Consider the following 19539-nt stretch of genomic DNA (forward strand, 5'->3'; position numbering starts at 1 on the left):
CAAAAATTCTGGATAAGACCTAGCAAATTGAATATAACAGTACATTAAAAAGATCATTTACTATGATCAAATGGGAATCATTCCAGAGATGCAAGGATGTTTGAATACATACAAATCAATAAATGTGACAAAACCACATTAACAGAAAGAAAGACCAAAACCATATGATCAATTCAGTATATGAAACAAAAGCATTTGACGAAATTCAACATCTCTTCATGATAAAAACTCTTAACAAATTAGGTATAGACGGTATGTAACTCAACACAATAAATGCCATATATGACAAACCCACAACTAACATTACACTGAACAGGAAAAGCTGAAAGATTTTTTTCTAGGATGAGGAATAAAAGAATGCCCACTTTTACCACTTTTATTCAACATATTAATGGAAGTTCTAGCCAGAGCAGTTAGGCAAGAGAAAGAAATAAAGTCATCCAAATTGAAAATGAGGAAGTCAAATTGTCCCTGTTTGCAGATTACATTATCTTAAATATAGGAAACCCTAAAGAATCCACCAAAAACTGTTAAAACTAATAAATGAATTTAGTAAAGTTGCAGTATACAAAATCAACATTCAAAAATTATTAGCCAGGTGCAGTGGCTTATTCCTGTAATCCTGGCACTTTGTGAGGCCAAGGCAGGAGGATCTCTTGAGGCCAGGAATTTGAGACCAGCCTGGGCAACATAGCAATACCCCATCTCTACAGAAATTTTTTAAAAATATTAAAATAATTTTAAAAACATTAATAGTGTTTCTATATGCCAATAGTGAACCATTTGAAAAAGAAATAAAAAAGATAATTACATTTATAATACCTATAAAAAAGATAGCTAGGAATAAACTCAACAAAGGAGGTGAAAACTATAAAACTTCGATGAAAGAAACTGAAGAGGACACAAATAAATGAGAAGATATCCCAAACTGATGGATTGAAAGAATTAATATTGTTAATATGGCCATACTAGCCAAATAAATCTACAGATTTAATGTAATCTCTATCAAAGTACCAATGACATTCTTCACAGAAATAGAAAAAAAGCAATCCTAAAATTCATATGGAACCATTAAACTCCAAATATCCAAGAAATGCTGAGCAAAAAGAATAAAGCTGGAGGCATCACACTACCTGACTTCAAAATATATGTCGAAGCTATAGTAACCAAAACAGTAGGGTACTGGAATAAAAACAGAAAAATAGGCCAATGCAACAGAATGGAGACCCCAGAAACAAATGTATGCACCTATAGCCAACTCATTTTTCACAAAGGTGCCAAGAGCACACATTGGGGAAAAGGCAGTCTCTTCAATAAATGGTGCTGGTAAAATTGGATATCCACATGCAGATGAATGAGACTAGACCTCTATCTCTCACCATATATAAAAATCAACCCAAAATGAATGAAATACTTAAATGAGAAACTTGAAAATATGAAACTACCACAAGAAAACTAGGTGAAACCCTTCATGATATTGGGTTGGTCACCAATTTTTATTTATTTATTTTTGAGATAGGATCTCACTCCTGTTGCCTAAGTGGGAGTGTAGTGAAACAATCATGGCTTGCTGCAGCCTCGACTTCTCAGGCTCAGATGATCCTCCTGCCTCAGCCTCCCAAGTATCTGGGACTACAGTTACATGCCACCACCCCTGGTTAATTTTTTGTATTTTTATTAGAGACAGGGTTTCATCATGTTTCTCAGGCTGGTCTCTAACTCCTGTGTTGAAGCAATCCACCTGCCTTGGCCTCCCAAAAGTTCTGGGATTACAGGTGTGAACCACCATGCCTAGCCAAGAATGTGTAAATAATACATATTCCTGGGCTCTGTATTCTGTTCCATTGGTCTATGTGTCTGTTTTTTATGCCAGTTCCATACCGTTTTGATTACAAGAGCTTTGTACCGTATTTTGAAATCAGGTAGTGTGATGCCTCCAGCTTTGTTCTTTTTGCTCAGTATTGCTTTTGTATTTGAAGTTTTTAGGGGCTCTATATGAATTTAAATTGTTTTTATTTCAATTTCTGTGAAGAATGTCATTGGTATTTTGATACAGATTGCATTAAATCTGTAGATCTCTTTGTCTACTATGGCTGTTTTAATAATATTAGTTCTTCGAATCCATGAATATGAAGTATCTTTCCACTTATTTGTGTCCTCTTCAATTTCTTGCATCAAAGTTTCATAATTTTCAGTGTACATATCATTCACCTCCTTAGTTAGGGTTATTTCTGGCTATCTTAATTTTTGTGCTTACAGGCAACAAAAGCAAAAATAGACAAATTGAATTACATCAAACTAAAAAGATTTTTCCTAGAAAATGAATCCATTAATCAAGTGAAGAGACAACTTACAGAATGGGAGAAAATATTTGCAAACTATACGTCTGACAAGGGGTTAATATCCAGAATATATAAAGAACTTAACAACAATGACAACAAAATAACCTGATTTTAGAAATGTATGGAAGACATTATTAGACATTTTGGAGATGACATATAAATGGCCAACAGGTATATGAAAAAATGTTCAACATCACTAATTATCAGAAAAATGTAAATCAAAACCATGAGGAGATACAACCTCACCCCAATTAGAATGGCTATTTTCAAAAAGACAAAAGGAAACAATGTTGGTGAAGATGCGGAGAAAAAGGAACCCTTACACACTGCTAGTGGGATTGTAAACTAGTAAAACCATATGGAAAACAGTATTGAGTTTCTTTTAGAAATTGAATAACTACCATATTAGCCATCCCACTAATTGGTATGTATTTAAAAGAAATGAAATCAGTATATAAAAGAGATAACTGCTCTCCCATGTTTATTGCAGCAGTATTTACAATAAGAAAGACATAGAATCAACCTGCGTCCAACAACAGATGAATGGTTACAGAAAATGTGGTATATATACACAATGAAATACTGTTCAGCTGTAAAATAATAAAAGCTCATCATATGCAATAACACGGATGAATTTGTAGTACATATCACATGATATCACTCACATGTGGAATCTAAAAAGTAATATGTCGATATGCTAGAAGCAGAGAGTAGAACAGTGGTTACCAGAGACTGAAGAGAGGAGGGAGGGGGGAGAATTGGGAGTGCTGTCAGTTATAATTAGACAGAAATAAATTCTAGCATGCTAGTGCTCAGTAGGGTGACTATGGTTAACAGTAAAATAGTGTGTATTACAAAATAGTTAGAGGAGAGGCTTTTGAATGTTCTCACCCCAGAGCAATGATAAATGCAGGAGGTGATGGATATACCAACTACCCTGATGGATTATTATACAACATTAATATGTATAAAAACATCACATACCCCATAAATATGTGCAGTTACAATATGTCAATTAAAACAATAAATAAATCAATTTACTTAATGGCCCAGAAATAAACCTATGCCTATACCATCAACTGATCTTTGACAAGGGTGTCAAGAACACACAATGGAGAAAAGATAGTGTCTTCAATGCATGGTGTTGGTAAAATTGTATATCCACATGCAAAAGAATAAAATTGGACCCTTCTCTTATACCATTTTAAAAAATCAACTCAAAATCAATTAGAGACTTAAATAGAAGACCTGACACTCTAAAACTACTCAAAAAAATAGGGGAAAAGGGCGTTGACATTAGTGTTGGCAACAATTTCTTGAATTTGACACAAAAGTGCAGGCAACAAATCCAAAATAGACAAGTAGGACTTGTCAAGCTAAACTATATTTTCGCAAACAACCATAGATTATTAACAAAAGCTAGGTTATATACCAGTTAAGAATATTTATGGTTTTTATTCAGCTCCTTTTTTAGTATAAACTTGCTTCTATTTTATCTTCTTAAAAAATCTCATAACTAATTATTGTGAAAACAATTTTATGTACAAAAACAGTTGTTAGTAAATACCCTTCAGTTAAATATAGAAATAGATTGACCGTTAATACAAATATTAGAAGGCTAGATAGAAGTAGTCCTTTTTAAAATAACAAGTATTTATAAAAATGGCAGAATAATTATTCTGCTTGTAAGGCAGAATAATTATCAATATAAAGTTTATCAAAATTAAATATAAGACCGACTAGATTGTTGGAAGCAAAGGTACAACTTCTTTGGTAGCCTTTTTTTCCAGCCTTAGTGACACTTCATTTCACCCTTGGTCAAATACTCCTTAAAACACTAACACAGGAAATTATTTAGGAGTGTGCCTATACCAGATCCAAGATGAGTCAGAACCAGGCTGAGGACTAATGCACTAAACCAAGCAACTGTACATCATTGTCCATATTCTTCAGGAAGTAAGGAACCACAAGCATTGATGTAGCAGCCTCATTCAAGCTTGGGCTAGAGCCTATGTAAAGTACATAAGAGGGGCCACATGACTTGGTGTGAATCAAAACTGAAGGAGCTGTCTCAGGCAAGATGGTGCTTACTCACTCAGCCACCTCTCTTTTTTATTTTATTTTATTATTATTATACTTTAAGTTTTAGGGTACATGTGCACAACGTGCAGGTTTGTTACATATGTATACATGTGCCATGTTGGTGTGCTGCACCCATTAACTCATCATTTAGCATTAGGTATATCTCCTAATGCTATTCCTCCCCCCTCCCCACAACCCCACAACTGTCCTCGGTGTGTGATGTTCCCCTTCCTGTGTCCATGTGTTCTCATTGTTCAATTCCCACCTATGAGTGAGAACATGCTGTGTTTGGTTTTTTGGAACCAACCCAAATGTCCAACAATGATAGACTGGATTAAGAAAATGTGGCACATATACACCATGGAATACTATGCAGCCATAAAAAAATGATGAGTTAATGTCCTTTGTAGGGACATAGATGAAGCTGGAAACCAGCATTCTCAGCAAACTATCGCAAGGACAAAAATCAGCCAGCTCTCTTAGGACCTTGTGAGTACTGAGTGACTAGGGTGTTGAAAACTGTAACTGGTAATTACAAGACCATTGCAATGCTTTTGTAAGCATTCTGTGTTGTTACTTGTCATAAAGTTAGACAAGCTTGATGCCAAATAAAACCTATTTTCTTTCATGATTTGTCTGAACCCAAGAACATAGTTAATAGTAGAGGTGATTTCACAAATTCAAATTCCTAATGATTGCAGAATTATTTAATGAACTAGTTAGTGTTCATAACATTAACCAATTATTCTTTAAAAGCTGAATTTCAATTTTAGTTGTTTGATTCAATTTAGTAAAAGGGTGTTTCAAAAAAAGTCTCATTTGGGAAATTTTCAAATCTTAAGTAAATTAAAACGAGAATGTTAATTTTGCCTCTTAAGGGAGCAACATGACAGACTCTAAAATCCTATAAAACAACATCTGTGATAGATAATCTTCAAGCCAGACATAATAATCTAAATAATAAAAATAATGTTTCAGAGAAAAATTAAGTATTCGTAACACTTTTTAAAATTAAACTTCTCAAACAAAGTCTTGGCTAGAATGCCATGTTACATTTCTAACAAGACAATCGGTCTAGTTTCGAGTCTATAGAAACAGAATTTAAAGGATAATCTGAAGATTGCTATGAGATTCCACCATTTTCAGTAATTCAAGAAGATAAATTTTTAAAGTTTTCGAGCTATGCATTGTAGCAAAAAAATCCTTTTATTTATTTATTTATTGTTATACATTAAGTTCTGGGATACATGTGCAGAAAGTACAGGTTTGTTACATAAGTGTACACCTGCCATGGTGGTTTGCTGCACCTGTCAACCCATCATCTACATTAGGTATTTCTCCCAATGCTATCCCTCCCCAACCCCCCACCCCCAAACAGGCCCAGTGTGTGGTGTTCCCCTCCCTGTGTCCATGTGTTCTCATTGTTCAGCTCCCACTTATGAGTGAGAACATGTGGTGTTTTGTTCTCTGTTCCTGTGTTAGTTTGCTGAGAATGATGGTTTCCAGCTTCATCTATGTCCCTACAAAGGACATGAACTCATTCTTTTTATGGCTGCATAGTATTCCATGGTGTATATGTGCAACATTTTCTTTATCCAGTCTGTCATTGATGGGCATCTGGGTTGGTTCCAAGTCTTTGATATTGTGAATAGTGCTGCAATAAACATACGTGTGCATGTGTCCTTTGGGTATATATCCAGTAATGGGATGGCTGGGTCAAATGGTATTTCTGGTTCTAGATCCTTGAGGAATTGCCACACTGTCTTCCACAGTGGTTGAACTAATTTACACTCCCACCAACAGTGTAAAAGTGTTCCTATTTCTTCACATCCTCTCCAGCATCTGTTGTTTCCTGACTTTTTAATGATCGCCATTCTAACTGGCATGAGATGGTATCTCATTGTGGTTTTGATTTGCATTTCTCTAATGACCAGTGATGATGAGTTTTTTTTCATATTTTTTTGGCCACATAAATGTCTTCTTTTGAGAAGTGTCTGTTTGTATCCTTCACCCACTTTTTGATGGGGTTGTTTGTTTTTTTCTTATAAATTTGTTGGAGTTTTTTGTAGATTCAGGATATTAGCCATTTGTCAGATGGATAGATTGCAAAAATTTTCTCCCATTCTGTAGGTTGTCTGTTCACTCTGAATGCCTACAGGAGAAAGTGGGAAAGATCTAAAATTGACACTCTAACATCACAATGAAAAGAATTAGAGAAGCAAGAGCAAATAAATTCTAAAGCTAGCAGAAGAAAAAAAATAGCTAAGATCAGAGCAGAACTGAAGGAGATAGATACATGAAAAACCCTTCAAAAAATCAATGAATCCAGGAGCTGGTTTTTTGGAAAGATTGACAAAATAGATAGACTGCTAGCTAGAGAATCATAAAGAAGAAAAGAGAGAAGAATCAAATAGACATAATAAAAAATGACAAAGGAGATATCACCACTGATCCCACCAAAATACAAACTACCATCAGAGAATACTATAAAAATTCCTTTTCGAAGACACTACTGAAAAAAATAATTTTTCCTTGACTTATATTCTGCTTTGCAAAACCTTAAAAAATATATTTGTGATATTAAGTGTACTACTCTGAGTCTCGTATTTCAGGCATTTGGACATGCAGGAACAATGTTTGACAGCATGGCATGTTAATAATAAATTCAGTAATCCTTCTGTTTCACTTACTAGCACAGAGATTTCTGGGTCTCACCAAGAAATCAACATGATGAAAGGACAGAAGACATATTTAGAGAACAGAAAACTGTAAAGAAAAGTGACATGAAATTATCATTGACAATAAAACAAGTATGTTGGGGGCTATGAAAAGTTCAGCATTTTGTTAACACTTTTTACATGCAGAAAGTAATTATAGCCCTGAGTAAAATAATATTTACTTGCTAGAGGCAGAAAAACTGTGAGGAAAGAGAAGTGATAAAGTGATAAAATCACTTCTCTTTAGTGGAAAACAAACCATATGACTTAAAAGAGATATAGGACTGCCGGTTCTGTTCATATAAGAGATGTTCAAGCAAAATAGGAAAGAAGATACTGTGTGTGAAAAGGGAATGTGAATGAAGAAAAAAATCTTAATTATTAAGTAACATGAGATATGTTAATAATCAATAATAATTGCTTGCAGATGATGCAATTAGTTGGCTGAAAACTACTGATGAGGTAACTGAGCTAATATGCCTGATAGTGCCTATATTTTTTGCATGATATTTATTATAACATTATTTGATCAAATCCAGGGAAAATGCTCATTTTGTTGAAAAACCAATGTTAACTGAAATGCAGATAAAAATTAATTGAAAATTTTATTATCTTAAAACATATTACTCATTGGTCCATTTCCAGGTTCATAGTTTAAGGATAAATTTTTTTTCAAATAATAATGTGAAGTGGGAATGCAAGAAAATATTAGCAATAAACATTTACTTAATGGCACCAATCTACATCTACTAAAATTTTACTGAAAATATTCTGAAATCATCTTATTTGAGCAGGATGCGAAATGAACTTTCATAATATGTGAAAAATAAAGTTGGCTCATCTGGAAGTATACCTACTCTGAGACTTGAACCTCTCATCTTTATGGAAAAAAGGTTATTTTTTTTGGCAATTTGCAGAGCTCAGTATTAAACTGCAAATATTACATGTAGCTTCTTTCTGTTGCTATGGGTAAGTTACTTGAATGACTTCAACAGATTCTTGAACTAAGCAGAAATTGCTTCCCACTCAGTTATAATTTTACCATGCAGAGGCTAGAAATTGGGAATAAATAATGAAAGAGGTCATTCTGGTTCACATTTAATGCTCTGTGTGGGATGTAGCTGATGACTGGAGAGAAAAACATGACCTGGTGGTAGAGAGTTGTTGCTTTATGATTCGAAAGAAATTCTGTCAGCTCTGACTTTAATTTCACATAAGTAAATGGGAAAAAAAAAACCTGTCATGAAGGAACAAATATGGTTAGTAAAGTTTTACTTTTAAAGTTGTACCCTACAGAAAGAAGTAAATAATTACCATTAAAGAAAAGCATAGAATGTGGATTTCTTACAATCCAATCATACCTGTGGAATCATTTGTCATTTGTTATTGAGATAAACATTGAAGAAATTAAAGACATAAACTATATTTTTGCCAAAAGCAATTTGTATGAAATCCATAGCTTTGTTAATTGATAAAAAATTTGGAGGGTGTATTAGTCAGTTCAAGATAACAAAATACCGTAGACTGGGTGGCCTAGACATTTATTTCTCACATTTATGGAAGGTGGAAAGTAAAATATCAGGGTGCCAGCATTATAGGATTCTGGTGAGACCCCTCTTCTTGGCTTGCAGATGATCATCTTCTTGCTGTGTCCTCACTCTGTCCTCACATGCAGGGGAGAGAGAGAGTGCCCATTCTGGTGTTTCTTCTTATAAAGGCACTAATCACACCATAAGGGCCCCACCCTATGGCCTCTTCTAAACCTAATAGCCTCCCAAAGGCGCCATCTCCAAATGCCATAACATTAGGAGTTAGGATTTCATATGAATTTTGTGAGGACACAATTAAGTCCATAGCAGATGGCCACAATTTCTTGTAACTCTCCTTTTTGGGAAGTGATATTTATTTTCCCTTAGCTAGAATCTAATCTGGCCCTGTGGCTGCTTAAGCAATAGATTGCAGCAAAAGTGGCACTGTGCCAGTTCTAGGCTTAGCCGTTTAGAAGACCGACTGGCAGCCTTTGCTTCTGCCCTCTGGATACCCTGCCATCAAGCTGTGAGAGCATGTGTAGGTGCTGTGGACACAAGCCCCACCGAGAGCCGCCAGCCTTCATCCAGCATCAACAGACAGCCCTGTGAGTGAGCCATGTGGGATATTCAGCCAAATAGAGCCTCCAGATGCTCCCAGATGCTTACTGTGGTTCCAGGTGGTATCACAGGACTAAAACTTCCCAGGTGATTCCAGTCAACACACAGAACTGTGGAGAATAATAAAATGATTGCTTTAAGCTATTAACTTTTGGCTGCTTTGTGATAGAGCAATAGCTAATCAAAATGTGCATTTTGCATGAAGATTATATCAAGTTTTGTTAAAAGCTAAGTATTATAGATGACAGAATGAATAGAAAATTAGTAAATTTGATCTATAGTAACAGTTGTGCCTGCAATCTAATGGTCATTAGATTGTATTAGTCTCTATGGGCATTGATTGCTCGGTAACAGCCCTGTGGAGCCCACCTATATGAAAAGTCATCCCTTCCCATATGCAGGTTTCACATCTCACAAATACCATATTTTTGATAAGCAGTTGGTTGAAAACAGTCCACGTCTAAGTTGACCTGTGCAATTCAATTCTGTTTTGTTGAAGGATCAACTGTATTCAGAACCTTACCTTAGTAAAGATTGCCTGTTTTTAATGAGAGCAGAAGAATGCCAAGAATTTAAATATTTTGACATTAAACTTTTATGTTCTCATCGATATGTTTTTAAAATAGATTAAAGCAAAAAAAAAGCAAAAAGAAAAACTCCAAAAGACAACAAGCCTAGTCACCCTAAAAAGGTTTCTTAGCTTCAATAAACTATAAATAGAAACCTCTATATGTTGAGTTAGTTGTGGTATTAGGTGCCTGAATATTTCTATCCATATTTGGTCGTAATGAATCAGTGATATGAAATTGCATTGGTTTGTCACTGTTAGTTTGTTGGATTTTATCTCAGATCTTAGGGTTGAGTTACATGTAAACATGTGCTTCTGTGGGTTGATTAAACAAGTTTTTCAATCAACTTCACTGAGAAACAGAGTTAGGAAACCTGTCTTCTAGGGGAAGCTTTGAGAAAAAACTACTAGCTATGTTATTTTGAGCAAGTTGTCAACACACTTGCCTCAATATATGACTCAAGAAAAAAAAATAACTATTCTTGTCCTGTTTACATGGAAGGATTTTTCTTCAAAATAAATGATCATATATACAAGGGATATTTATGGAGAAGGCTTTTTAAGCTAAAATAATTGTATTGTCATTCTTAATAATTTTGCTGTTAGTAATTTTGTGTTTTTTCTGTCAATTTTGAAAATTATTTTATTACACTTTTCTGAGGCCCAAAGTTGATCATTTGGTCAATTGTGGTGTCTGCTTGCTTTATTCATAAGGCCTCCGAAGTTAACTGATATTTAGTTGGAACATAAACCATGAACTATTGGGGAGAGATGATAAAAGATAATTATACAAATGTTGAAACAGAGATCATAAGACTGACAGAACAGACTCTTTGTGGCAATAAGATATCAAACTATAAACAAGACCTAAGGCCATACCAGGCAAGGGTTAGGTCACACACCCCTACTCTTAAAGAATAAAGTATGTTCTGGCCGGGCGTGGCAGCTCATGCCTGTAATCCCAGACTTTGGGAAGCCGAGTTGTGTGGATCATGAGGCCCAGAGTTTGAGACTGGCCTGGCCAACATGGTGAAACCCCGTCTCTACTAAAAAGTACAAAAATAATCCAGGCACGGTGGCTCACGCCTGTAATCCCAGCCACTTGGGAGGCCGAGGCAGGAGAATTGCTTGAATCCAGGAGGTGGAGGTTGCAGTGAGCCGAGATCACGCCACTGTACTCCAGCCTGGGTGGCAGAGCAAGACTCTGTCTCAAAAAAAAAAAAAAAAGGAATAAAGTATGCGCAAGGTTTTTGTTTGTTTGTTTTTCTCTTTTTCTCCAGCAACTAAACAAGCACTGAAGCACTGGCCTCAAGATAAGCAACATTCAAACAATTGCAGCTCACTGACCACCATATGCTAACTGAGCCACGTGATCCACAAGCCGTAACTACAGCTTTGATTGAACAAGAGATTGATTTCAATAACTTTCTCCTGATAAGAGACACTGACCATGGACTGGTGCTGACCACTTTACAGTGGTTGAACGCGGTGCCTTTGTGTCTTTGGCTCCACCTTTGCACACATAGGACCTAACTGTAATGAATTTAAATGCTAGGTCTCCACCCTAAGCATTGAACATGGGACACATGTAACATGCATGTTTGCTTACTGCATTTTCATGCATCTCTCCCCTTCATGAATATTCATTTTCACCTATAACTTGTTAAATATGTATACCTCACCAATTCATAGGGCATAAATCTCAGCCTTTCACTTTTTTTTCTCTGAAGTGCCTGCTTTCTGTCTCTGCTTCAGGCTGTGCTTCCAAGCCTGTCAGCATGGCCACCCTGAAGGCTGTAACTCTTCATAAGAAATAAAGCTCTCCTCTCCAAGTTTATAGATCTTGTGATTCTTCAGTTGATACAAAAAATTAGGTGACAATTTCAGGCATCGAAGCCTCTTCTTGTCCTAGCTCTATTTTAATCCATCCAGAACCTATAATATATAGATCCTACCTCCAATTTACCGTTCATCAGTCTCTCAGGTCCTCAGTTTTTCTCCACAACCAACTTAGATTCCATAGCTTATCCTTTTAACCATACCCTTGCTTATACCATTTCTCCCTTGCTTCTCTTTCCTTATATATTTCCCCTGGGAAATGATGTGACTACATAATGCTATGGTTAATTTCATATGTCAACTCGACTGGGCTAAGGGATGTCCAGATAGCTGGTAAAACAATATTTCTGGATGTGTCTGTGAGGGAATTTCTGGAAGAGATTAGCATTTGAATTCTTGAACTGACTAAGGCAGATGGCCATCCCCAATGTAGGTGGGCATTGTCCACTCCATTAAGGGCTTGATTATATAGAACAAAAAGTCAGAGGACATCCATCTTCTTTAGCTGGGACACCCATCTACTCCTAGCCTCAGATATTTGAGTTCCTATTTCTCAAGACTTCAGACTCTAGGGCTTACACAGCATACCCCTGCCAACACTCCAGTTCTCAGGCCTTCAGACTGACTGAATCACACCACTAGCTTTCCTGGTTCCACAGCTTACAAATGACATATCATGGGACTTTCACGCCTCCCTAACCACGTGAGAAAATTTTCATAGTATATCCTCTCTTATATACCTATATGTATCCTATTGATTCTGTTTCTTTGGAGAACATTGACCAACACACAGAATAAGTATTCTTGTCTTGCTTCATTCACTCCAGCTAATGTTTTTATAATTTATCCATGTATGTATCTGTAGTTATTTTGTTCCCAAATGGTACTGCTGAATATATCACAATTTGTTTATTCTTCTGTTTGTTGATTGGCACTTGGGTTATTTCCAATTTTTGCTATAAATAAAGCTGCTGTGTGTGTACAAATCTTTGTATAAGCATATGTTACCAGTTTTCTTAGGTAAATACCTAAGACTAGAATTGCTGGATCTTAGGGTAGGTGTGTGCTTAACTTTACAAGTAACTACTAAACAGTTTTCCATCACCAGTAGGATAAGAGTTGCAGTTGCTTGGCATCCTCTCCGACACTGATATTTATATTGGTTAGTTCATGTTTCATAATAACTCTCTTCCGTAAAATAACACTGATCTATCCAGTTCATTGGAGCTGAATGGCCAAGGCTAGCCTCACTTGTATATTTGATGGTTTAACTTATTATTAAGTGAAATGATGGTCATGACTTGGCCTTGTGTATTTCAGAAGCTAGCAGGGCTCATCCACATGCTAGCTAGCTTACAAAATCAGCAAGAAAAGGCAAGCTCCTGTACATTTTCATTTTGTATATCTCTACTTGGGTTATGTTTGCTAGTGTCTCAGTAGCCAAAGAAAGTCATGTGTCTAGGAACATATTTAGAAGGTGTAGAAATAGACTCCATCTTTATAGGAGGAACTGAAAAGTCCCATTGGGCAGGAACATTGCTATAGAGATAGGAAGTATGTGAGGCCTTTTTGCAGTCTTCTCTTTGACCGCAAATTGCTTTTGTTATTCTCACATGAAAAATATAATCATCCTCATTCCAGTTTCATATCAATAATGGCATCAGACTCAAAGTCTAGGATCTAGTTCTCTAAATCAGATTCAAGTGCAGATGAGGTGCCAGTAAATATAGTAATCAAGGCTTGGTCAGGGAAGCAGAGCTTCAGTGAGTGTTATTAGAATAAGGGATTTATTAAATGCATTAGATTTTATACTCAAGTGAGAGTAGATGGAGTAAATCGGAGAGTTGTTGGATCAGAGTCACTAATGAGTTTACCTGAAAGGTTGGTGCAGGTGGACAAGTAAGATCCTTCAAGAGAATCTGAGAAACCAAGCACATCCAGTGACTGTAGTAGGACCAAGAAGAGGAAGTTCATGGAGAGGTCTATGGGAAGCTGTTGCCTAGGGTAGCTACCATGGCCAACCATCTGATGATAGAACTGGGACTGCTGTTGGTCATGTTGATGAGTGGGACATGTAGCAAACAAGAACTTGCTGTAACTGAATGGACACATTTTCACCTGTCTGACACCCTACCTGACACTGACAAACATTCAAGAGTAATGGCCACTGCTTCATTAGGTGTTTAACTTGTCACTGTTACCTCCTTCACCTGTAAAGGTCTACCCCAAATATATACATGTCCCCTTTTATCACTGTCTTCAGGTCTCTCCACAAATGTCACTATAGCCTTTTACTTCTGACCACTTTATATGAAATAAACCTAAGTCATCTCCTCTGTACCTCCTTCCATCATCCAGTTTATCTGGGTGACCTTACATTTAAGTTTGTACAGGATGTCCCAGCTTATGCCTGCTGACCTGGCATCCTGTCTAGTTTTCAGTTCCTTTTGTTCTAAAAACATGTCCCTATTTAGACAATAAATTACCTATCACCCTACTTTTATCCTGATTCATTTTTCTTCATGACACTTATCAACTAACTGTCATATTATACATTTGCATGGTTTTTTATTTCTAGTTTCCCCTCTTTTAAAGGGATTGTAAATTCCACGGGGCAGTCTTTATGGTTAACTGCTTTAGAACGTGACCCTGCACATAGTACTCAGTAAATAACTCTTGCATTAAATAATTAATAAGTCCACTAGTTGTATGACTTTGGGCATGTCACTTCACCTTTTGAACTTCTGTTTTCTTTTCCCCTTGTTTGTAATGAGGTCCTAGATGAAATGAGATCGTAAGTCTAAAATCCAATAATTGCTTATGAAACCTTCTTCCTTTCGAGGACAAATTTCATTTAACAGTTGCTCTGTGTAGAGGGAGAATATTAGAGCTATGTTTTTAATAAGCTAGAGTAGTCATCTAAAGCAATAAAAGACATTTTTAAAGTATAATTTCATCTAAGCAGCAAGGATTGATTTAAAAATAATAATCACAGTGTCTTTACTTGCATGAAGAAATTAAGCCTAAATCCCTATTAATCATTTTCTGACTTGAATTTTCCCCCAGGTTCTTATAAAAATAAAAATATATTTTATAGCATTGGTAAAGTTATTTAGGGAATTTAATTTATGATGATAATCCCCAAATTTCCATCTCTAGCTCAGATCTATGCCCTGAACTCCAGGCTCATATATCCAACTACCTTCATGAGATTTCTGCTTGGGTTACTAATAGGCATCTCAAAACTAAAATGTTAAAATCTAAACTCCTCATTTTCTGCCATAGCCTATGCTCTCAAAGTCTCTCATTTAAGCAGATGGCAATTGCATTCTTTCAGTTACTCAGGCCAAAATCCTTGCTGTCACCTTGACTCTTCCTTTATCTCATTTTATCTCATACCTCACATCCAATCTATCAGCAAATCCTATTAACTATACCTTCAAAATACACCAAGAATCAGGCCAGTCCTCACCCTCCTATACTTTTCCCCAGCGTAGCCAACATTGCATTTCTCTGAATTACTGCAATAGCATTTTAACTTACTTTCTGTAGCTTCTGCCCTTCTCATCCTGAGCAGCCACCTATGTCTATTTTCAACAAATCATCCAGAAAGATCATTTTAAAGCCTAAGTTAGATCATGTCACTTCTTTGCCCCAAATTTTCTAATTGCTATCATCTGATTCAGGATAAAGGCCATGTTCCTGATAGGGGTGTATAGGATCTGCCATCCTGCTGCCTCTCTAAATTCATCTTTTACTACTTTTCCCCATGCTCTGTTTGTTCTTTTCATGAAGGCATAGTATACATCATGTACCCTCCTATCTCAAAATTTCACTTGCTACTGGCCTTGCCCAGAATGGTCTTACCTTCAGAGGTATGGGTGGCTTGGTCTCTTTCCCACTTCAAATCTTACTTCAAATCTTTCTTCAAATGTCCCATTATTAGAGTGGCCATTCCTATGCCCTTGATGCAATTAATAGCAATTTCCTCCTCAATTTTTCCATTTCCTATTTTCTCTACCCTATTTCCCTTTCCTATTTAGTATTTACCCACTTTTGACATAGTATAACAACATGCATATTATGTGTTTATTATCTTTCTCCCTGTACTAGAATGTAAGTTCACAAGAACTAGGATTTTGTCTGTTTTGAACCCTTCCAGACCCTAGAATTGGACTTTGAACATAGCAGATGTTCAATAAGTTTGTGTTAAATCAAAGAATGGATAAGTCTGTTTATTAGATGAAGCTTTCATTATCCAATGCTCTTCTTCCTCTTATAGCCTTTAACTTTAGCTCCATCTTTTCGACTCCTTGATAAAGCAAACTTATCTTAAATTAGTTGCCTTTAAATTAATGCATATTATAAAACTGTGTTTTAAACTTGGTTATGAAGCTGACAATATGCTCAAATGCAAACAGTGTAAAATGCCTAATCACATTTGAAAGCATCATTCTCTGAGAGAGCAACACATGCCTCGTGTCAAGAGGGATGACAAGGTTGGATGTCAATCCTTTTTAGCATTCCCCTTTTTAGAGGGGAAAGGATTGGCAGAATCAGAGATACTTTGATGCCTTTCTACTTTGTTTCCCAGGCTTCTGCCACTGCTCACTTCTTGCTGTTTTAATTCGGCGAAAAGCCCACCATACATATGTCCTTACACTACCCTCAAATTGTTCAGTTTCCCATAGTGATGCCCTACTCAAGACATTCCTCACCAAAGTATTCTTTAATTCTGGAAGTGCTGGTGTCTATACTAGCACTAATGAGGATCTGGAACATCATCTAGTTCATCTGACCATTCTTTTTTTTTTTCTTTTTTGAGACAAGGCCTGGCTCTGTTGCCAGGCTGGAGTGCCATGTTGCAACCATAGCTCACTGGAGCCTCCGCCTCTTGGGCTCAAGTGATCCTCCTGCTTCAGCTCCCAAAGTGCTGGAATTACAGGCATGAGCCACCATACCCAGCTTACCTGACAATTTTCTAAGTAAGGAAACTAGAACTTGGAAAGATGAAATGACTCATGCAAAGCCAGTCCAGGCCTCCACTTCCCCATTCCTGTTCATCTGTCCTGTACTGTATTTCCAATCACATTAGTTAAATACAGGAATAACCTAAAAGTCCAGTAAGAGGGCAATGGCTAAGTACATCCATGTGAGGCTTACTACACAGCTATTAAAATTTTTATCATGTAGAAAACAATTAAGTGACCTTAGTAAATGTTAACAACAATAGTTAAGTGAAAAAAGTCAAATACTCAATTTATAAAATAATTGCGTACATAATGGGAAGCCTCTGTAACATCAAAATATTGTCAGTGGTTATTTCTGGAAGTTAGGATTAGAGATTTTTTTTACTTGTGCTTATACTTGCATATTTCCAAAATCAACACTTTTATAATAAAAAAATCTAACTTTTCTTCTGCTCCATGCTCCTAATTAAATTTGTCTGCATTTTTAAACACTAGAATATATTTTTAAATGTTACTTTTTTGTATAAATAGCATGTGTGAGATATGATATTTAAATATGTGGAAAATTGAATAAGCTTCATAAATGTAAAGAATTACTAGCAATTAAGTCAAAAGACAGAATGGCATCTAACAACCTTCACAAGGTATATAAGATGAAGATTCTTTGGGGAGACTAGTATACCTTATGATAATCATGAAGCTCTATTTTTTCTTTATAATTCTCATGTTTTAAAATTATACTTCAAATTAATTTTCTATCCTTTTAAAAGTTTTTGGAATTATTTGAAATCTTTATAGATCATCTCAATACAAAATTCTGTTAGTCTCTTCTTTGCAACTTCGGTTTATGCCAAGCTATTTTTGAACCTTCATATAGACTACGTAATGGTTTCTCATATAAGAATGATTGCGTTGTCTTATGTTGTTTCATTTTTGTTTAAAATATGCATCTCAATTGTCACAATAATCAGATGAGGAATGAAGTTTATAACCATTTTTTAGATGAGTAAAATCAAGGTCAGAGAGTCTAAATAGCTTGCCTGTTATCATACATCTTACAAATAATAGAGCTAAGTTGAAACCCAAGTCTAAATGCCAGTAAACTCAATGCTACAATTAGAATCTACCTGTACACTGCCTAAATAGAATCTTCTAAATTAACTTGGTGACATATTGCATAAGTGCAAAAATGGAGAAGTTTGTCTAGTGTTCTTTCATCTGCTCTTGTACTTGTGCTGAAACCTTCAAAACATCACCTTTCACTATCTAGAACTTCTTGCTGCAGCAAGTCACCCAGGACTGCTTCATGATCCAGATCTGAAATGTCACTCCCACCCTCTCACCATGCATCTGTCTTGTGCTTATGCCCATGTGTCTAATCTCAGCTAGAGATTTCTTTCCAGTCACAATGTGCTGTATGACCCCTTCGATGTCCTTCATCAGGATTAACAGCTATTCTATGGAATTCATTGTGTCATTTTGTAAATATCAGTCCTAGTTCCTTGTAGGTTCATAACCCACAAGATTATGAGTTCTTTGGGGATAAAAACCAAATCTTAGTCATCTTTTTAGAAATACACAAGGCATAAAATTAACCTCCAGATAAACTAAACATCCAGATAAACACAATTACATTAAAGAAAAATTAATAGCTGTAACAGATGGTACAAGCATCCAAGAAGGTAGAATTCAACATGTCCTGTAGCTAATAAAAAATAGAGCAAATGAGGAAAACATGTCCTATTAGGAGGAAAGATAATTCAACTGAACCTGACCCAGAAATGACATAGATGTTAGTTAATAGACAAGAACAAGAAATCGGTTATTATAACTATATCTCTTATTTTTAGAGTGGCAACAGCCATCCAGTTTCTTAATCCTTATAATTACTATTTCTCAAAACCTCTCAAAGGCCTGAGATATTGTATCTGTTGGTGCATTCTCTTCTACTATTATCTTGTTGTAATTTACCACAGGTCAAAGTTTAACAGTTGCACTGCAATCCTGCACTAATGAGGAACTCATTACCTGTTGGTCAGCTCCAAAGCTGACCCATTTTACAATGTTTGCTTTAACTGTGGCTTTAATCCATTTGGTTGTGATGCCCCTGGTGTAGTTTTATCATGTTTATTCTGCTTGAAGTTCATTAAGTTTTTTTGATCTATGGATTTATAGTTTTTATGCAATTTGGAAAATTTCCATCATTTTTTCATGTAATTTTTTTCTGTATTCACTGTGCCATCTCTGACCCCAGCCCTCACCGTTCAGGGACTCCAGCTAATCTTTATTAGACAATTTGAAGTTGTTCCACAGTATCCAAATGCTCTATTCATTTGTTCAACAGTTTTTTTCTCTATATTTCACTTGGGACAATCGCTATTGATGTGTCTTCAAATTGGCTAATCTGTTTTTCTGCAATGTGTAATCTGTTGTTAGTTTCATACTGTGTATTTTTCTTTTCTTTTCTTTTCTTTTTTTTCTTTTTGGAGACAAAGTCTCGCTCTTGTCCCCCAGGCTGGAGTGGAGTGCGATGGCACGATCTCAGCTCACTGCAACCTCCGCCTCTCAGGTTCACTTGATTCTCGTGCCTCAGCCTCCTGCGTAGCTGAGATTACAGGCACCTGCCACCATGCCCAGCTATTTTTTTTTTTTTTTTAGTAGAGACGGGGTTTCACCATGTTGACTAGGCTGGTCTCGAACTCCTGACCTCAGATGATCCAACCACCTTGGCTTCCCAAAGTGCTGGGATTACAGGTGTGAGCCACCGCGCCCGGCCACAGTGTATTTTCAATGTAGACATTGTACTTTGCATTTTTAGAAGTTCCTAAAATGAACTTATCATATTCTTTCTTTTAGTTCTTGAACATATGGAGT

The sequence above is a fragment of the Homo sapiens genome, chromosome 6 (genome assembly GCF_000001405.40).
Source record: "Homo sapiens chromosome 6, GRCh38.p14 Primary Assembly".
Classification (NCBI taxonomy): Eukaryota; Metazoa; Chordata; class Mammalia; order Primates; family Hominidae; genus Homo; species Homo sapiens.